This window comes from Homo sapiens, chromosome 14 (assembly GCF_000001405.40).
Source record: "Homo sapiens chromosome 14, GRCh38.p14 Primary Assembly".
NCBI classification, from domain to species: Eukaryota; Metazoa; Chordata; class Mammalia; order Primates; family Hominidae; genus Homo; species Homo sapiens.
The window spans coordinates 21213739-21235476 of record NC_000014.9 but is presented as its reverse complement, the minus strand read 5'-3'; the positions used below and the strand labels follow the sequence as shown (position 1 = coordinate 21235476).

The 21738-nt window shown below is 39.5% G+C and overlaps 1 protein-coding gene across 18 annotated transcripts in view, besides 1 other annotated feature; it reads left to right on the top strand.

The window, feature by feature from the left end:
- The window catches only part of HNRNPC (heterogeneous nuclear ribonucleoprotein C), a 60296-nt gene that overhangs the window by 33966 nt on the left and 4592 nt on the right, over positions 1 to 21738 (top strand). For 10 of the 18 annotated variants that reach the window (NM_001077443.2, NM_004500.4, XM_011536712.3 and 7 more), the window contains 3 exons: positions 1248 to 1524; positions 4405 to 4480; positions 5111 to 5158. In NM_001077443.2, coding sequence (NP_001070911.1) covers positions 1284 to 1524; positions 4405 to 4480; positions 5111 to 5158 — 365 coding nt within the window. In that variant the 5' untranslated portion in view covers positions 1248 to 1283. Of the gene's footprint in view, positions 1 to 1247; positions 1525 to 4404; positions 4520 to 5110; positions 5159 to 21738 lie in introns of all 18 variants that reach the window. The other 8 variants (NM_001077442.2, NM_031314.3, XM_011536708.2 and 5 more) reach the window with 1 other exon arrangement.
- Positions 16234 to 16777: an enhancer, noted in NCBI's record as "H3K27ac hESC enhancer chr14:21686859-21687402 (GRCh37/hg19 assembly coordinates)". NCBI's record gives its function as "activates a minimal SCP1, AML or CMV promoter by ChIP-STARR-seq in naive H9 embryonic stem cells {active_cell/tissue: H9 hESC(naive)}" and the evidence as "EXISTENCE:reporter gene assay evidence [ECO:0000049][PMID:30033119]".

Below are 21738 nucleotides of genomic sequence, written 5' to 3'. Positions count from 1 at the left end.
TGCCTGTTAAATGACTGTATTAAGCATCAGAATGATAGGAGTCATGTATATATGAAATGGTGTTAAACTACCTGTTTTTATGTACATATATGTATACATTAGACTTTTTTACATCATCCGTGAGAACTAGTTTGTCATGATTCACTTGAGGATTGGAAGGATAACAAATACTGGAATCTTTTGAGATTTATCAGTACCTTTCAAAGGGATGAAGGGGAAATCAATCTTAAGAATGTTTTTAAATCTTGTTCAAGATTGGGGGTTGGAGTGGGAAGAGGCAGGAAACAAAATGCTAAAAGAATGAAATAAAACATTTTCGCTTTACGGGACCTGAGATGGTATTGTGAATCTGCATATGGTTATGGTAGGATTGAGCCTCCATCACATACATAAAGACAGATAATTTTTGGTTTTAAATAATGCGTGGAAAGTTGTGTATTTTTCTTTAATTCCCCAATCTTTAATTTGATTCATGCCGTGTTCCACTGGCTAGTTTTATCATCATCACCATCCGATATTATTAAATGTCCTATATTTTAGGTTATATAAAAAGTAGCCTTCGAGTCATTGCAGTCTGTAAAAAGATGGTATTGATACTTATGTATCTAAAGCATACTGCAGATTAATTGAAGTATCTGGAAATAGGTGTTTCCAGTGTAAATGAATTGATTCTATTTATTGCCTTTTGAAGAAAATTATACTTAATGGGTAAGTGTAAGCTATCCATATTAATCTAGCTAATGAATGGCTTGGGACAGAATTTGACGTTTGCTATGCTGTGTGTATATATACAGAACCGGTGAAACTCAATAAAAGCAACGTGAATCAAGATTATTGATGGCAGGGAATAGTTAGCATGACCTGTAATGTGAAAAACAGCAGAAACTGGTGTCAGAGAATTTAGGCAAATCTAATTTGCTTGAGTACTTAGAGGAGGGCCACTTGGAATTATGTCCAAGGAAATTATATTGCCAATGATCTGCCAGGGAGAATTTTTTTTTCCTGAGAATTTAGAGTTTAGTGCTGCTGAAATAGAATGGAAGAGGAAGAAGTTGACTTTCTAGAGTATATTCAGAGGCTGGAGTCTCTGAAATTATTAGCAAATACATACTTAATGCTGTGAGTCCCTTTAAGTTGCCTAATACTCTGGGCAGTTAACAGTGATTCAGAGTGAGAGTGGAGAATGTTTTATCAAGGAATATTGTTTTTAGCATCTGTTCACCTGTATACTTTTTTTTGCTTTACAGTTTTCGGCTTTGTGAGAAACCTTACCATCAAACACGATGGCCAGCAACGTTACCAACAAGACAGATCCTCGCTCCATGAACTCCCGTGTATTCATTGGGAATCTCAACACTCTTGTGGTCAAGAAATCTGATGTGGAGGCAATCTTTTCGAAGTATGGCAAAATTGTGGGCTGCTCTGTTCATAAGGGCTTTGCCTTCGTTCAGTATGTTAATGAGAGAAATGCCCGGGCTGCTGTAGCAGGAGAGGATGGCAGAATGATTGCTGGCCAGGTTTTAGGTAAGTGAATTTTTTCATTGATGATGTAATTCAGGCCTGAGTTTTTCTATTCACGTTTTTTTTTTGTCTTTATGTCTGTAAAACTGACAGCATGAGATATTCTGGATATTGCGACTGTTTAGCCTAATAAAAATACATTAGGCTTATAGTTATAATTGGCTAAGTAAAGGATATTCTTCATTGTACCATTTTGTGTAGTAGAGCTAGGACAACTCTACTACAATCGTGAGTAGGGGGAGCTGGGAATGACACTTCACAATGTAAAAACGTTGCCTAAATGGTTGTGTCCTGCCCACAGCAGACTGGAGGAGCCCTCTAGTGTTGATTGCTTGTCTCCCCATTGGGATTTCACTCCATCCGTTGGGCCGACTGCAGTTTGGCTCAGTGTTAGATTTTCTTGTATTTTAAAATGTAATGACACCTCAGAGTACTTACTACCTATGATTTGGTTTATTCAAGCCAGAATCCAGTGTCCACATGTTTATTTTATTAGTTGTACTAGATGTCTGTTTTAACTTCTCATTTTATGTGTACCTTGTGCCTCAGTTTCAAAATTATCATACCTTTGTTTTTACAAAGTTAAGATGATTATTTTTAAATTTATATTTGTGATTTAGTTTATTCTTTGTATACATTCTACTATGTATATTGACTCAAAGCATGGTAGGTTAGAGTTATGTGAAACAATTCTTTGATAATGTTATGTAACCAACCAGATACATAATTTGGGTCTATTTCATTGTTTTTACATCTTACTGGATTGCTTTTTCAGAAATTTAATTCTCTTTAGTTTTGAAACACTTTATATGGTTTCAAAGTCAGAATTGTAAATGAGGTTAATGTACCAAAACCTGAAGGTTATTCATGTAATGGTGTTCAGCAAATAGACAATATATTCAGTCCTTTTTTTTTTTTTGAGACAGAGTCTAGCTCTGTTGTCCAGGATTGTGTGCAGTAGTGCAGTCTTGGCTAATTGTAACCTCAGCCTCCCGGGTTCAAGCGATTGTCCTGTTTCAGCCTCCCGAGTAGCTGGTACTACAGGCATGTGCCACCACACCTGGCTAATTTTTGTATTTTTTAGTAGAGGTGAGGTTTCACCATGGTGGCCAGGCTGGTCTTCAACTCTTGACCTCAGGTGATCCTCCCGCTTTGGCCTCCCAAAGTGCTGGGATTACAGGCGTCAGCCATTGGACCTGGCCTGAGTCAGTTTTCAGTTGGTCATTTGATGAGCTGCTTTTGTATAAAAAGGGAAGATAAATAAGATTAAGTTTAAGATATCCACATTTGGCCAGGTTCGGTGGCTCATGCCTGTAATTCCAGCACTTTGGGAGGCTTGAGTTGGGCAGGCCATGAGGTCAGGAGATGGAGACCATCCTGGCTAACACCGTGAAAAGCCATCTCTATTAAAAAATAAAATTAGCAGGCTGTGGTTCTGGGTACCGGTAATCCCAGCCGCTCAGGAGGCTGAGGCAGGAGAATTGCTTGAACCCGGGAGGTGGAGGTTACAGTGAGCCGTGATTGCACTCCAGCCTGGGCAATGGGGCAAGACTCTGTCTAAAAAAATACCCACACTCATCTAGTTAATGGTTTGAGGTGGAATTTGGAATTTATATTTTGGGGCATTTGTATATTAAAATGAAGCTCATTTTAATAAAAGCAGTATATATGAAAATGGAGTTACTGTTGACTCGAGTGCTGTAGCATGACTGGGAAGGTAAACTGAATTTTAGAGAGTTTTTGGCTTTTTGACATGGGCTTTTTAGAACAAGGAGAAGATAAATTCTTGTTTGGTAGGCAGTGGGTGGCAGGGTAGGTAGCTGGGCATACGTGTTACAAATTGTATTTGAAAACCAGGGTTGTTTCCCTTTGCTCTTTTATTTTTTTTGGTGTGTGTAAAGGTTGTTTAAGCAATTGATCAATTATTCAGAAAGCAGTCGTTAACCCAGGATATTTTACGTGTAGAACAGCTAATCCTTACTTATAAAGAAAATCTGAAGTTGCCTTTGAGGATGATTTGAGGTTGTCACACTTCACTATGTTAATTTGTGAATTGGCATATATTTTAATATATTTCATTCTAATATATTTGTAATAATTCGGAATGAGCTGAACCATTCTTGGAAAGGCAACCAGTGATAGTTTTCTCTTGTAATAGTAACTGAGTGAACAGTCAGTACCTTGAATGGGGAGAGTTGAGTTGAAGTGGTATCTGAGGGTGGAGAGTACCAAAGACAGACTTAATGTTAGTCTCAGGAACACTTGAATGGTAAAGAACAGACTACAAAGAAACGGAAGATGAAGCCTTAGCCTTGTAAAAATTTGTGAGCCTTTTTAATATTAAAAGGAGAGATGAAGCTGAGCTTGATAGCTCACACCTGTGATTCCAGCACTTTGGGAGGTCAAGGCAGATCACGTGACCCCAAGAGTTCGTCCCTACGAAAAATAGAAAAATTAACCAGGCGTGGTGGTCCCTGCTACTTGGGTGGGAGGATCACCTGAGCTTCGGAGGTCTAGGCTGTATTGAGCCATTATTGCATCACTGCACTCCAGCTTGTATGACAGTGAGACAGTGTCTTAAGGAAAGATGAGTTGTTTTGTTCCACATTTTCTAATTTATGTGTCTGTGTGATTTTCTAAACTTCGTAGTTTGTATTAGCTGGGCATGGTGGTGCCCGCCTGTAGTGACAGTTACTCTCGAGGCTGAGGCAGGAGAATCGCTTGAACCGGGAGGTAGAGGTTTCAGTGAGCCAAGGTGACACCACTGCACTCCAGCCTGAGCGAGAAAGCGAAACTATGTCTCAAAAATAAAAAAAATAAACTTTGTAGTTTGTTTTACCCGGATACAAAGTTGTCATTAACATTTTTACTTTTGTTTTTCAGATATTAACCTGGCTGCAGAGCCAAAAGTGAACCGAGGAAAAGCAGGTGTGAAACGATCTGCAGCGGAGATGTACGGGTCAGTAACAGAACACCCTTCTCCGTCCCCTCTACTCAGGTCCGGAACTTTATTATTTATAACTGCATTGTGTCCATCAGTGGGCATCTTCTCTTTCTGTTTTCTGGGTGTGGGGAGGTTTAAGTGTACTGTGTTTTATCTGTGTATAAATAAGGTTTTATTATTTTTGTGTTAATATGTCTCTTTTTTGCCCTAGAGAAAATTTCTAGAGAATTAAAAATCCCTGAGGTTTTTGCTATTGATATTAAAGAGTAGTTTGATATTTATAGCATAACCTGAAATACTTATACAGGATCGTTGAGCTTCTAAGACACTAGAGAGTAAGAGAGGGTAGAAGTGTGGTATAAGAATGCTTAGTTTACCATTCTGTTTTTCAGTGTTTAGTTTAGCTATGTCGTATGTGGAAATCTTAGCGAATTTTAACCTGAATTTCCAATTTGACCGCTACATTTCCAGTGGTCTAAGGTGATTGGAATTGAGTGATTTATTGTATGAATGATTGGGGATCATTCAGTGCTAATCTTGTTGATCTATTTGTTGTGGTTTATTTGGCATGGTTCTCCCCTCACCTGACATTGTGAATTAGTAGAAACATTTCCAAATTAACCCTTTTCGGTATTTATTTTTCAGCTCCTCTTTTGACTTGGACTATGACTTTCAACGGGACTATTATGATAGGTATGTTAAAATGTTTTGTATTTCTGCTAAACAGCTATTTAGTGAGAACCATTTCGTTCTTCTGGTTTGTGGTGATGAACATCAAAGATGTTTTCAAACATACTCCCCTAACTCCAAAACAAAAAAACACCTTTTTCTAAATCATTAAGTAGATTATTAGGTAGGGTGATACTGATTTTAATGCATTATTTCATAATCCCTGGCTAACGTGGTGAAACCCGTTTCTACTAAAAATACAAAAAAATTCGCTGAGTGTGGTGACTAGGGACTGGGTTATGGGTGGCTTTGGGTAACAGATTTAGAACTGTTGATAGCAAATGCTTAACAGGAAATAGGATGATGTGCTTAAGAGTGTTACCACATTGACATTCTGATAACATCAGTCTCAGTTAACATGAAGGAAATGTTAAGACTTATTTGGCTTGTCGCGTTCAAACTCATGCAGTATATGTAAGTATATGGAGCAAACTATTGTATGCAATAGACTTTAAACATGCAATATATAAAGCATATTACTTTATATACTATTTGTCTTATAATGCCAGTATTCCAGTCATTAGTATTTTAATGTTATTACTGTATATAACAATTCAGTCTGATTTTGGAATAAAAATTACTGATTGGGGAATGCTTAACATTTGAACTGAGTTAATCAGTCATGCATGGGAGTTGTAAAGGAATCAAGTCAGCCGTTAAATACCATAAAGTATACACTGAAAGTGTCAGACATGAAAGTATAGACTTTCTGTTTGAGAAATAACCTCACAGAATATGGTACGTAGTCATTAGAAGGCCAGAAGAGTAAGGCCCGAAAAGGAATTCAAATCCAGATTGTAAAGGGCCTTGAATGCCATAATAAAATGGTGTGGTTGAGCATCATTAATGCATCATCAAAATGTTTTTTTCATTTGACATTAGCGGTTTCCTCAGATTTTTTTTTTTTTTTTTTTGAGACAGTCTCGCTCTGTCGCCCATCCTGGAGTGCAGTGGCGCAATCTTGGCTCACTGCAAGCTGCGCCTCCTGGCACAGCCTCCTGAGTAGCTGGGACTACAGGCGCCCGCCACCACACCCGGCTAATTTTTTGTATTTTTAGTAGAGACGGGGCTTCATCGTGTTAGCCAGGATGATCTCGATCTCCTGACCTCATGATCCGTCCGTCTTGGCCTCCCAAAGTGCTGGGATTACAGGCGTGAGCCACCACGCCTGGCCTGATTTTTTTTTTTTTTTTTTTTAAATACGGAATTTTCCTCTCGTCACCAGGCTGGAGTGAAGTGGCGTGATTTTGGCTCACTGCAACATACGCCTCTTTGGTTGAAGCAATTCTCCTGCCTCAGCCTCCCAAGTAGCTGGGGTTACAGGCATGCACCACCACTCCCGGCTAATTTTTGTATTTTTAGTAGAGGCTGGGTTTCACCATGTTGGCCAGGCTGGTCTCGAACTCCTGAACTGAGGTGATCTACTCGCCTTGACCTCCCAAAGTGCTGGGATTACAGGTGTGAGCCACTGTGTCCAGCCCTTTCCTCAGATTTTTACAGTTATGTGTGAACATTTTGAAAACTAAGGAGTTCTGTAATTCTTCATTTTTATTTTTGTTGAAATTTTTGAAATTCTTAAAAAATAAAAATCAGCTGGGCACGGTGGCTCACACCTGTAATCTCAGCACTTTGTGAGGCCAAGGCAGGTGGATCATGAGGTCAGGAGTTCAAGACCAGCCTGGGCAATATGGTGGAACCCCGTCTCTACTAAAAAAATACAAAAATTAGCTGGGCGTGGTGGCACGCGCCTGTAGTCCCAGCTACTCAGGAGGATGATGTAGGAGAATTGCTTGATCCCGGGAGGTGGAGGTTTCAGTGAGTTGAGATCGCGCCACTGCACTCCAGCCTGGGTGACAGAGTGAGACTCCTTCTCAAAAAATAAAACAAAATAAAAATCAATGGAGAACTTCCAGTTGAAAATAAATCAGGACATTACTAGTGAACTCAGCCCATTTATTCCTGAAATTGCAATTTTTTGAATTTTTGCAATCAGACCTTGGTAATGACCTAATGCAGTAGGATATAAATAACTCCGACAAGCTTAGCATTCCAGTAATGGAACATTAGGCATAGATGGGTTAATTATTGGTCAGGTGTCTTGAAGGCACTGAAACCCAGTGAGTTTGTCTGAAGCATCTGCCCTTTAACCCTTTCTGCACATGGTAATTGCTTGACCACATTTAAAATATACTCATGCCAGCTTCTCCTATAGGGATTCTTACACAACTGGTCTTATGCAGACTTTCTTAAGTACTAGTATATTTTTCAGTGCTTTCTATGTGTTCTTTTGTCCAGTCAGAGTTGAGAATCATTAATAAAAGATTAAGGACGTGGTTGTGTTTCTGTGTATTATTATCCTATTTCTTTGTCATGGCTCAATTCAGACCAGTTTAATAAACTCACACTTTTGTTGGTATAATTTCAGGGATGTCATGGACTCTTAGTTGATGTTTTTTATGAGTGTATCAAGTTTTAGCAGTATACAGTGACAGTCTTCTTGAAAATAGTTCTCATTAAAAAGTCTTTTCTTGGCAAGGCACATTGTGAATGGGGAAATTTGAAAATTTGAGCAGGGAATTTGGAAAACATTAGTTGAGACAATGAGATATATACTGCAGAGAAATCTAAAGAAATCACGTTTGCAGAAATATCTTCACAGAAATTGGTGGCCTCTTCAGATTTTCAATAGACAACAATATATTAGGTTTGAGCAAAAGTAATTCCGTTTTTGACATTTCTTTGAACGGTAAAAAGCAAAACCGCAATTATTTTTGCACCAGCCGATACTAGTAGTTACTGTCGGATATATTGCTGCATGTTATTGTCAGTGAAAAGTAATGTCTTCTATTGTTCTAACGTCAGCCAGTAGATAATGATTACTGATAACTAGTGGAGCAACTAGGTAATAGCTGGCAAAGAGCTGACTTTTAGAGTACTGAGATCTTTGTTGGGAAAATGAATTTTAGGAGGTGTCCACATGATGGGAACTTACTCAAGTTGGGTTGGAGAATTGAGGAATTGAGTGTGTGTCTTACATGATAGATGTTAATGAAGGTGAAAGGAGGAGGAGTGTTTGTTTAGTGGGGAGAGGGGCAGATACAGGAGTTTTTTGCTGGTTTGGAAAATGTTAGGTCAATTTGGACCTGGGAAATAGGTTGGGTATGACCTGGTGGAATAACAACTTAGAAAAATGGTATTAATATCTTCTAAGAAGTCATTCTGAAGATTCATTATCATAAGGTTTAGATTTTTATTTTAAATGGTAACAGCGATACTTCATTGACTATGTTAAATTGTTTAATCAAAGAAGATGGGAAATTGGCTCTGAGTGAAAGCTCTGGGTCTTCATATGTAAATCGGAGTAAAAATCACTGTCCCCCCCCCCCCTTTTTTTTTTTTTTTTTGAGATGGAGTCTTTTCTGGCACTCAGGCTGGAGTGCAGTGGGTTGGTCTTGGCTTACTGCAACCTCTGCCTCCTGGGTTCAGGCGACTCTCCTGCTTCAGTCTCCCAGGTAGCTGGGATTACAGGTGTGCACCACCACACACAACTAATTTTTGTATTTTCAGTAGAGACAGTGTTTGTCCACGTTGGCCAGGCCGGTTTTGACCTCTTGACCTCAGGTGGTCCACCCGCCTGGGCTCAAGGGATCTCCCTGCCTTGGCCACGCAAAGTGCTGAGATGACATGTGTGAACCACTACGCCTGGCCCTCTTTTTAATATTCATTTGAAGGCGCTGGTTTTGTTTTGCGAAAGGTGTTGTAATAAAAGTGAATTTTTATCACAATGTTGGGAATGCACAAGTATTCAAAGCTGTAGTTGTTGAATTAAGCGAGATTGGGAAGTACTCTAAAAATAGATCTTTAAGTCCTTAGGTAGGCTGGCATATACATGAAATTGATGTTCGTCAACAGCTACCCTGGTACTATTCTTTCTTTCTTTTTTTTTTTTTTTTTTCTTTTGGAAACGAGTCTCGTGCTGTCTCCCGGGCTGGAGTGCAGTGGTGCAGATCTCGGTTCACTGCAACCTCCGCCTCCCAGGTTCTCGAGATTCTCCTGCCTCAGCCTCCTGAGTAGCTAGGATTACAGGTGCACACCACCACACCCAGCTGATTTTTTGTATTTTTAGTAGACATGGGGTTTCAGTATGTTGGCCAGACTGGTCTCAAACTCCTCACCTGACTTCATGATCCATCCACCTTGGCCTCCCAAAGTGCTGGGATTACAGGTATGAGCCACTGCACCTGGCCCAACCTGGCACTATTCTTATAATTCTTTAAAAAATTCTCATAAAAGTCTTGATCTATATGTGTTTTCTGATTTGTGCCACAAATACTGCAGTGTTTTCATACTAAAACTATATCTAGATATAAACTAGATATATTTTCTTCAGATTGTAATAAATTGGAACCCCACTTTCCCTTATAATTGATCACCCATGAAATTGTTCTCAAATTAGATAATGGTGATATTGCAGAACTAATAAAAACCACGGAGTGGCACCCTTTTAAATGGTGAATTTTATGGTATGTGAATGACGTTTTGATTGAAAATGGATGCGACATTACAATTGAAAAAGGATACATCACTGTCTTATGGACAGTCATTCTTTTTTGTCATATCTCGTGGACCCTACCTACATCAGGATACTTGCCAGTTAGAGACATAGATGAAACCCGTCTGGTGCTACCAGCCTCAAAAGGTAACTCTTACGCCTGAGGATGGACACCTTTTAGAATTAAAAGAACTCTCAGTCATTGTGGGACATCTTGCTAGCCTTCATAGAGACTGATTTACTGTCAGCTCTTTTCTTGAGTCGTCTCATCTCTCTCTGTTTTTTTTTTTCCTTTTTTTGAGACAGAGTCTTGCTCTATTGCCCAGGCTGGAGTGCAGTGGCTCGATCTCGGCTCACTGCAACCTCCACCTCCCAGGTTCAAGTAATTCTTGTGCATCATCGGCCTCCCAATTAGCTGGGGTTACAGGTGCCTGCCACCATGCGTGGCTAATTTTTTTTTTTTTGTATTGTTAGTAGAGACGGGGTTTCACCATGTTGGCCAGACTGGTCTCAAACTCCTGACCTCAGGTGATCTGCCCACCTCGCCCTCCCAAAGTGCTGGGATTACAGATGTGAGCCATCGTTCCTGGCCTCTTTAATTCTTATTTGGAGAACTTTGGGCAACACGAAATAGAAACTGCCAATAAATGGCAGGTTTGATAACAGGCTTTATTATGACAGCGGAGACTTGGTGAGCAAGAAACCTGGTTCAAAAAGACTGGTTTAGTTCAATGGTCTTTCTGAGGACTTTTTAAACTTAGCACATTTTGTATGTGGTGCATGACTAGTAATACAGTATATAAGTAACGAGTATGAAATTCTTAGAGGTTTTCAGAGTGCTGTTATTACTCCATGGCTAAATATATTAATATGTCAGTGCATTAGAAATAGACAAATCTTCAAGAACTCACAGGTCAAAGATGACACATGTAACAAAGATTGAGTTGTGAGGGGCCTTGATGTGTTTGAGGAGCAGCCAGCTGTAAAGTAAATTGTAAAGAATGTTAGTTGTAAAGGGCTTTGTATTACATGTTCTGGGATTGTGTCCTATAGATGGTATTTTAGAAACAGGCCTGTGGCTAGAGGAAAAAAGATGTGTTAAATGGTAAACATTGTAAATGTTGGAATGGAGAGGAGGTTGGGAGAATTTCTGAAGTAGATTGGTCTTGATGTGATTGGTTGGACTAAAGGTATGAAAGTAGGTGCTTGTAGGAAAATAATAGTCAAAAGCTGAGATTTTGTCTTCGTGACTAGATGATAGATTATGCCATTAATGGTTACATGAAGGGGGGTTTCACAGAGTTTGTGCTGTCAGAATTTCAAGGAGACAAGCAATTTTGCTGCTGGTTTTATTCTACCTGACTTTTCTAGGAATGTATCTTGGTAGAGAGAGAAAATTAGTTGAAATGAAACCATTGAAATTCAAGACAGAACTGTCAAACCATCATTTCTTCAACTATTAATAGTTAATATCCCTAATTTTGTTCTGGGCACACAAAGCCTGAGGCTTTGGATTAACAATATGGGTTGAAGGAGAACCTTCACCTTACTGAGTTTAGATTAGCAGACACTTTGACCTCCTTTTCTATTTTTCAGATGTTTTTGAGTAACACTGTACCTGAGAGATGGGTTTGTTTATATATATGTATGAAGGGAGAGAGTGCCAAAATACTTAGGTTATTTGAAGTTTGAAAACTGGGGACATTCTGCATTGAAAGGCATGTGTTTCACAGAGCAGGAGACTTCTAGGCTACTTTGAAAAGCTAACAGATGACTCTCAGAGGTGTCATTTTAGGTGGAGAGGGTACTCTGGGCTTGGAAGTTTTGGATTTGCTCACAGCTCCACTGTTAATTATATCTTTCTTTTGGGAACCTGTGTATCATACATATAGGTGCCAGAAGGATTTTAGATGGTGACATAGATTAGTATACACTTTTGGAACAAATCAGTTATTAGTCTTTTTTGTTTGTTTTTTGTTTTTTGAGACCTGATGTGGCTCTCTTGCCCAGGCTCGAGTGCAGTGGCGCATCACTGCTCACGGCAACCTCTGTCTCCTGGGTTCAAGCAATTCTCCTGCCTCAGCCTCCTGAGTAGCTGGGACTACAGGCACATGCCACCATGTCTGGCTAATTTTTGTGTTTTTAGTAGAGATTAGGTTTTGTCATGTTGCCCAGGCTCATCTTGAACTCCTGAGCTCAAGTGATGTGTCCACCTTGGCCTCCAAAAGTGCTGGGATTATAGGCATGAGCTATAGCATCTGGCTGGACTTAAATTTTGCTAAATATTTATTTCTTAGTATTCCTTTTAGATTAGTTTCTTATTGTGTCCTAGACTCGTTTAGTAGGTGGGAGATATTTCTTTGTAGGAGAGGCATTTGGGTCTGAATCAATCTGCTGTATGACTGAGTTGAGCGGTCTTGATTCCATTTTTACCCAACACTAAGGTATCCTGGTGTTTTATGAATCTTCTTGAGGGCATTCTTCAGGTAGATTTTGTTAGCCTCCTTGGTGTTGCTTTTCTTTTTGAGATGGAGTCTCACCCTGTTTCCCAGGCTGGATTGCAATGGCGAGATCTTGGCTCAGTGCAACCTCTGCCTCCTGGTTTCAAGTGATTCTTCTGGCTCAGCTTCCGGAGTAGCTGGGATTACAGGCATGCATCACCACGCCGGGCTCTTTTTTTGTGTGTGTATCTTTAGTAGAGATGGGGCTTCACCGTGTTGGGCAGGCTAGTCTCGAACACCTGACCTCGAGATCTGGCCGCCTCAGCCTCCCAAAGTGCTAGGATTACAGGCGTGAGCCATCACGCCCAGCTGGTGTTTTTGTTTTGGTTTTTTTTTGAGACGGAGTCTCCCTCTGTCGCCCAGGCTGGAGTGCAGTGGCGTGATCTCGGCTCACTGCAAGCTCTGCCTCCCTGGTTCACGCCATTCTCCTGCCTCAGCCTCCCCAGTAGCTGGGACTACAGGCGCCTGCCACAAGGCCCGGCTAATTTTTTTGTTATTTTTAGTAGAGACGCAGTTTCACCGTATTTGCCAGGATGGTCTTGATCTCCTGACCTCATGATCTGCCTGCCTCGGCCTCCCAAAGTGCTGGGATTACAGGCGGGAGCCACTAGGCCCGGCCATAGCAGCATTTTTAAAGATGTACCAGAAAAACTCAAATGTCCATCAACTGACTAAAGAATAAACAAAATGTAGTAACCATAAAATGAAAGAAGTACTGATACATGGTACAACACGGATGAACCATGAAAATATTCTAAGCAGACAAAGCCAGTCACAAGACACACATTGTACGATTCCATTTATATGAATGCCTAAAATAGGCAAATCCGTACAGGAAAAAAAAACAAAAACAAATTCTGCCATGGAGATTGGTATGCAAATTTTTGTGTGGTCATGTGTTTTCATTTCTTTTGAGTATATATACCTAGGAGAAGTGCTGGGTTGTATGGTGATTATATGGTCAACCTGACCAACAGCTAAAAGTGGCTGTACCCTTTTATATTCCCATCAGTCATGTGGAAGGTTCCAGTTGCTCCACTTACATTCATATCTGTCTTTTGCTTTTATCCATTCTAGTCTAGTGAGAGTGTGGTGGTATCTCAGTCAGGATTTAATTGCATTTTGTTTAAAAATATTGAATGTCTTTTCATGTGTTTTTCAGCTTTTTTTTTTTTTTTTTTTTTTTTTTGAGACGGAGTCTTGCTCTGTCACTCAATCTGGAGTGCAGTGGTGTGATCTCAAGAGCCCCGTCTCCTGAGTTCACACCATTCTCCTGCCTCAGCCTACCGAGTAGCTGAGACTACAGGTGCCCGCCACCACGCCCGGCTAATATTTTTGTATTTTTTAGTAGAGACGTGGTTTCACCATGTTTGCCAGGATGGTCTTGATCTCCTGACCTCGTGATCTGCCTGCCTCGGCCTCAAAGTGCTGAGATTACAGGCATGAGCCACCGTGCCCAGCCCAGCCATTTGTTTACTCTTCCACACATGTATTCAGATTATTACCCATTTTTGTATTAGGTTGTAGAATTAGTTGTAGGATTCGTTATATATTCTGGAAACAAGACTCTGAGTACAACATCTGATACTGTTAGAAAATTTTAACTGTTTCTTATAATTCCACCATCCTGCTCTGTAGTTATAGGAGATATGTAACTATCCATTTGTGCTAAGTCGTTTTGTAGAGTTTTTAAGGATTATGGGTTTTGTAATAGACAGTAAATTATAGATTACTGGACTCTGGTAATTACATATAAGCGGTAGATGGAAGTTTGTGGAGGCAACAAACTAGAACATTGCTTGCTGTTCAGTAGAACATTTAAGTTCAGTGGCCACATGTGACTAGTGACTATAGAATTGGATAGTGCAGGTCTAGAATGCTGCAAAAATCAGTTTTACTGGGTAGAATAAGTCTAGAGTTGTGTAAGTTATAAGAAATGTAATGACTAAAGCCTACTCTTCAGGAAGGAAATAACCCAGACTGCAGTTGTAGAGCGAATGTTGAAAGAGTAAATAGGAGAAAGTCATCTGTAGAAATAAACTGGTATTTGTGATGTCCTTACAGCAGGCATATGATTTCACCTCCAAATTCACGTTCATCACAGGCACAATAGCTGTGTTTTTTGCATGTTTTTTGTTTTTTTGAGACAGGATCTTGCTCTATTGCTGAGGCAGGAGTGCAGTGGCACGATCTCAGCTCACTGCACCTTTTGCCTCCCGGTTTCAAGGGATCCTCCTGCCTTAGCCTCTTGTGAGTTCCTGGGAATACCGGCGCGCCACCATACCTGACTTTTTTTGTGTATTTTAGTAGAGACGGGGTTTCACCATGTTGCCCAGGCTGGTGTCAAACTGCTGGTATTAGCCACTGGGCCTGGCCAATAGCTGATTTTTTTTTTTTTAAATAAATACCTTGAAAACAGATAGAATTTTTTGGTAAAGTATGATATTCAACTTTTATTCGATTTTCATTGGGAAGTCCCCTGCTTTGATCTTTATTAAGCCAGAAAATCAAAACACCAATCCTGGCTTTTCAGCTATTACATAGATAGGGTTCGGTTTGTTACACGTTGTTGATTGTGTGATTTATGGATTATTATTTCCTAGAAGTCAGTTGGGAACTTCATTTATTTACTCAACAAATATTTGTTATGATCCTGCTGTGAGGCATTGTATATAGCAGGAATACTATAATAAGAAATAGAGGCCGAGAGTGGTGGCTGACGCCTGTAATCCCAGCACTTTGGGAGGCCGAGGCGAGCGGATCACCTGGGGTCAGGAGTTCAAGACCAGCCTGGCTAACATGGTGAAATCCCATTTCTACCAAAAATACAAAAAATTAGCTGGGCGTGGTGGTGGGCGCCTGTAGTACAAGGCTGAGGCAGGAGAATCACTTGAATGCAGGAGGTGGAGGTTACAGTGAGCTGAGATTGTGCCCATTGCACTGCAGCTTGGACAACAAGAGCAAAACTCTGTCTCCAAAAAAAAAAAAAAACCAGAAATAGATGGCCTCAGAGAAAAGGGGTTGGGTTAAAGACATCACGTGACGCATAAGGCATAATGTCTTTAGCTTTTACTTTGAATGAGATGGGAAGCTATTAGAGGGCTTTGTGAAGAGAATGGGAGGGTCTTACTCATATTTTAACAAGATCACTCTTACTGAGAAAGATAATGGGTGGCTGTTCAGAGAAGCAGTGATTTTTGGTGGGACCAGAGAAATGGCAATGGGAGTGATGAAAAGCAGATGGATCTTAAAGGTGTTGCTGAGAAATTTGCTTATGTTGTGAGGCTTGAGAGAGGAATCAGATGTGGCCAGCGTTTTTGTCTGGACAACTGGAATTATGGAATTTACAGTGACAGTGATTGGGAGGAGCTAAGGTGAGGAGCAGATATCATAAATCAGTTGTGGACATGTTAAAGTTGATCCGTTTGGAGAGATATTAAGTAAGCAGTTGTTTATATGGTTCTAAGGGAGTCATCTGCTTAGAGTTTATAAAACCGCAATACTGGATGATTGGAAACAGAAGAGAGATTCTGGGGGTACTGTGACCTTTAAAGAATGTGGCGGTAAGGAAGAAATGAGCAAAGGAGATTGAAAATGCCAAAATGAAAAAAATGGAGAAGCATGAAGTATCTTGGAAACTGTATGAATATATGTCAAAAGAGTAGAAAGGCAAACAAGGTCTTTCATGTCACTAATAGTTGAAGTAGTATGAGAATTTAGAAAACGTCTTTTTGAATTAGCGGTGTCATTGGTGACCTTTGACAAAGGTAGGTACTGTTAAAGGCAGAAATCTTACACAGATTTCAAGTGAATGGAAAGATAGAAATTGGAGTCAGCATAGAAAACACACAATAAAATTCACCCTTTTGGTGTATAATTCCTACATCAGATTTGATTTACAAAATGCATAGTCATATAACCATAACTATAACCAAGATAGAAATAGTTCCCAGTTCTCTGAAATGCACCTTCACTCTGTTGCCTAGCAATCATATCTGTTCCTTAAAAGGAATTTTATTGTAAGTGAAAGAACTTCTTACTCTTCTATGTTGATAAAATGAGAATTTTAAAAATATGTAATTTTTTTTCCCCTTTCTTTTTCTTCTTTTTTTTTTTTTTTTGAGAAAGAGTCTCGCTCTGTTCCCAGTCTGGAGTGCAGTGGTGCGGTCTTGGCTTACTGCAACCTCTGCTTCCTGGGTTCAAGCGATTCTCCTGCCTTAGCCTCCCAAGTAGCTGGGACTACAAGCATGTGCCACCATGCCCAGCTAATATTTGTATTTTTAGTAGAGATGGGGTTTCATCATATTAGCCAGGCTATTCTTGAACTCCTGATCTCATGATCTGCCCTCCTCGGCCTCCCATAGTGCTGGGATTACAGGCATGAGCCACTGCTCCCAGCAATTTTTTTTTCTTTGTCTCACAGGCTGGTCTTGAACTCTTGGGCTCAAGCGATCTGCCTGCCTTGGCCTTCCAAAGTGCTGGGATTACACATGAGAGCCACTGCATGTGACTCAATTTCAGTTTTTTTTTTTTTTTTTTTTTTTTTTTGAGAGAGAGTTTCGCTTTGTCTCCCAGGCTGGAATGCAGTGGTGCGATCTTGGCTTACTGTAACCTCTGCTTCCCAGGTTCAAGCAGTGCCTCAGCCTCCTGAGTAGCTGGGACTACAGGTGCATGCCACCACACCCTGCTGATTTTTTTGTATTTTAGTAGAAACCGGGTTTCACCATGTTGGCCAGGCTAGTCTCTTAACTCATGATCTCAGGCAATCCACCTGCCTCGGCCTCCGGAAGTGCTGGGATTACAGGCATGGGCTACCATGCCCAGCCTCAATTTTAGTTTTTTAAAAAATAAAATTGCACCACATTGTCAGTTTAAAATTTTATCTTTGGTAAAGATCAACACTGACATATGGGAGTATGTGTATTGTTGAATACCATGACAAATGAGTAATGTTAAAGTTATTTGTGGCTGCACACGGTGGCTCATGCCTGTAATTGCAGCACTTTGGGAGGGTGAGGCTGGTGGATCACTTGAGGTCCAGGAGCTCATGACCAGCCTGGCTAACATGGTGAAATCCCATCTCTACTAAAATTACAAAAACTAGCTTGGCTTGGTATCGTGTACCTGTAATCCACGCTACTTGGGAGACTGAGGCATATAAACAAGAAAAGCCAGGGATTTTTTTTTTCCCTTTCTTAAAACAGTCTTGAATCCAGTCAAGTTTCAGAATTGATGATTGATCTAGGACTCAAGCAACCTGCCTGTTACAGACTAGATTCTTTTTGACTGAGAAAGTTTTCAGGTGCATTTTCAAATTGTCTTCCCATGAAATGTCTGGTTTTGTGTTAAGATAGTTTCCTAATGAAACCATCAAGACACACCACTTTTTCCCTTAATATGCAACATTTCATTAAGATGTCAAATTTTATTCCTCTTAAAATAAGTATGTACATTTAATGTATTTTTTCTTCGTGGAGCCATTTTCAATCAAATGGCTTAGAATTTACAAAAATATCCCTAAATACTAATATTTGTAATTCTTTCTGATAGAATATTACAGAACCAATTATTGATTGATGCCATTGGCTCAGTATAGGAGCTATTGCTACCTATTCTTTGGTAGTAGGTATGTTTATGGTGTTCCCCAACCCATATCAGTGATCTTTGGACAAGGCTAACCCAACAATGTGGTAATAATCTATTTCCATTTTTTCCCCCTTAATTACCAGAATTATATTTTCTTTAAAAATTATGTTAGAGTTTCCCCATGTGGTGAATACCTTGTATAGCTCCAGTGGTGAGCAAATGAGCATACTGGTTTACCATTTAGTCGTTTTATATTTTAAATGAGTGGTGCTTGCAGTTGATAGTATCCGGGTAAACTGATGCTAGACTAAGACAGCATGTTTGTGGTGAAGTACTTGCAAATAACATTAGAAATCATTGATTTCAGTTTAGAAATAAAACACAAGCTACAAAAATTTTGCTGGTTGATTTATTTTTAAGCACAAAATCAAGAATTCCAACTATGTTACGAACATTTTGAGGCAAGGACTACTTCCTCAGATGTGAATGAGAGTCCATTTCTGCCTGAGCAGCATTCTTTGTAACTAAAAGCCCCACCGGCTGAAATATTTTGAAATATTTTTCTTCAGAAAAGTAGAGAATTTGACTCCTAATTGTGTTCATGGGACTGTTAACATAGATTCAAAACAGAACTATTACTTGCTTCATTTTGGCTATGGTCAGATGAAATAGTAGGTTTTAAAAGGAAATTCCAGTGATAGTACGGAACTAGCTAGCTAGCTAGTTTAACGGATTTATTGTTTTCGGTCACAATTTGACATATTGTTATTTAAATTTTAATGTAAACCTGTGTTAAACTTTTTTATATCAGTTTTTTTATCTACATAGTTAAGTTTGAGGCAGATGTCTGTCATCAGTTGGTAGTTCATTTAACTAGTATTTACTGGAGATAGAATGGAAAAAACTGCTCCTTTGGTTCTCTTAATTTTTGTTTTGTGACGGAGTCTTACTCTGTGATCCATGCCGGAGTGCAGTGGTGGGATCTTGACTCATTATGAACTCCGCCTGTTAGGTTCAAGCGATTGTTGTCCCTCAGCCCCCGGAGTACCTGAGATTATAGGAATGTGCCACCACACCTGGATAATTTTTTCTATTTTTAGTAGACACTGGGTTTCACCATGTTGGTCAGGCCCGTCTCCATGTCCTGGCCTCAAATGAGCCGCTCGCCTTAGCCTCCCAAAGTGCTGGGATTACAGGTGTGAGCCACCCTGTCCGGCAAAACAGATTATTTCAATCTGTTCACATTTTTAAGATGAGAATCAGCTGTGGTCCATTAAATGGTCCATGTACCAAATGATAGCTTTATTATTAATAGATTAACGTCTACTCTGGTGTAGTGTTGACATGTATTACTAGGTTTTTTGAGACCCAGGAAATGTCACTGTTTGCAGCTAATGTCTTATGGTCAGAATTTCCATTTAAGAAGCTTCCCTTTGAAAACCTCTTCTTAGTACATGTCTTGTAATGCTTTTACTTTGGAATTGGGGTAGACATTCTTTGTCTTTTTTTTTTTTTTTTTTTTTGGTGGTGGAGGAGACAAAAGTTTTTACTCTGTCGCCCAGGCTGGAGTGCAATGGCTGTCTGCAACCCCCACTTCCTTCCTGGGTTCAAGCAACTCTCGTGCCTCAGCCTCCTGCGTAGCTGGGATTACAGGTGTGCCACTGCATCCAGCTGGTGTGTTTTGTTGTTTTTTTTTTCTTTTTCTTTTCCTTTTCTTTCTTTCTTCCTTTCTTTTTTTTTTTTTTAAGACGGAGTCTTGCTCTGTCACTGAGGCTGGAGTACAGTGGAATGATCTCAGCTCACTGCAACCTCTGCCTTCCAGATTCAAGCAATTCTTCTGCCTCAGCCCTCCTGAGTAGCTGGAATTACAGGCGTGTGCCACCATGCCCGGCTAATTTTTGTATTTTTAGTATACACGGGGTTTCCCCATGTTGGTCAGGCTGGTCTCAACTCGTAACCTCATGATCCACCTGCCTCCGCCTCCCAAAATGTTGGGATTACAGGCATGAGCCTCCACACCTGGCTGGTGTATTTTGTCTTAATCTGTTCAGGTGATTAATGTCTCTAGAGTGTTTTAATTTCTTAATCTGACTAGATTTTATACCAACACCATCAAGTTTGATTATGGGTGCAGTTACAATTCTCCTAGGGTTTAGTCCTTGTTCCCCTGGTAAAAGATTTTAAACAGCCTAGCCTTAATCAGTAAGTAATCAGCTATTGTTGCCTCATCTATTGTATAGCTTTCTCATAGTGAGAATTTCCGCTTAATTTTTAGCTGGTGCTTGAAGTAGTCATACTGAGCTTCTTAATATATATCCCTTTTAACTTAAAGGTTGTCACACTATGTATGTTTTTTTTCTATTTTCACACTTACCGTCCTCAACATTTTTCGAGGCAAGGACTACTTCCTCAGATGTGAATGAGAGTCCATTTCTGCCTGAGCAGCATTCTGTGTAACTAAAAGCCTTAACTGGCTGAAATATTTTGAAATATTTTTCTTCAGAAAAGTAGAGAATTTGACTCCTAATTGTGTTCATGAGACTGTTACATAGATTCAAAACAAAACTGTATTACTTGCTTTATTTTGGCTGTGGTCAGACGAAATAGTAGGTTTTAAAAAGAAATTCCAGTGATAGTACAGAACTAGCTAGCTAGCTCATTGGTTTAGATACGGGTGCCGGTGAAGGTTTGTGGCTTAGGAGGTAGATTAGATATTTATTTCCATTGGACTGAGGCTTAAGCTCAGTTTAATGCTCATGGATATGGATAACTTATTTTGATTCACCTCCAGAAATTGTCGTTAAGCAATTTGTGTTTGTGCAAGTGTTACCATCTCTCACAAAGGATATGAGTTTCTGAACACTGATATTTTATAGTTTCTGTATCATTATACTTTGCAAGATTTTGGTCAAAAAGACCAAAAGCTTTATGTCAAAATGGGAAAGTAGTGATAATAAAAAGTTACTCAGTATCTTTTTCTTTGCATTAATTCCCATGAATGGATTAAACTAAGAGATTAACCATACTTAGGGGAAATGCAAACTTTTTTCTGTTTTCTTTTTTTTTGAGACAGTGTTGCTCTGTTCCGCATGAGTGCAGTGGTGCAGTCATGGTTCTCTCACCTCCTGGGCTCAACCTGTCTTTCCATCTCAGCTTTCCTTGCTCTTTTAATTTAGGAAAATGTTCCTGTCCATAGCCACTCCTGGGACAAGATTAAACATTGCTTTGTTGAAATAGTGTGGAAACACTTTTAAGTTAACAGAGGAGAGAATTAGCAATGAGATCTTGTAAATGTTTTCACTACAGGAAGATTGGAGATATTACAACTCAGAATAACTTGCCACTATTGTATATATATAAGAGGGAGAATCATGACAAAGGTGATTAATAATATTTTTAAAGTTCTTGACTATCACATTTGTTTTTTAAGAAATATTTGGAGTTAGAACAGTTGGTAGGTGTATTTTTATAGAGTACCTGGGCCTTTGCATTAAGTTAGTTGCATTTTTAAAAAGCTTGCAGAATTGAAGACCTTTTCATACGTTGCCATAGGTTCTTATATGGAAATGACAATGTGGAATGTAGAAAGTTTAGAACTGATGTCCATGTAAGAAGTATTTTGTTCTGTTTTGAATTTTCTCTTTACAAATGTAAGTGTACCAAGCCACTGCTTTGGTGTATCTTTATCAATCACTGGGATACTAAGTTTAAGACATTTGAAATTAAGATTTCTAATAGAAACAGCAATTAGTTGAGCAACCAGTGTTTATTGAGTGCTAAGTGTGTACTGGCCAGTGAATTTAGACATAGGTGAGTAGTGAACAAGATAGACAGTGGTCTCTGCCCTGTTGGAATTAAGCGTAAATTTAGTTAGAAATGATACTACCTGTTTTTATATGAGGTAT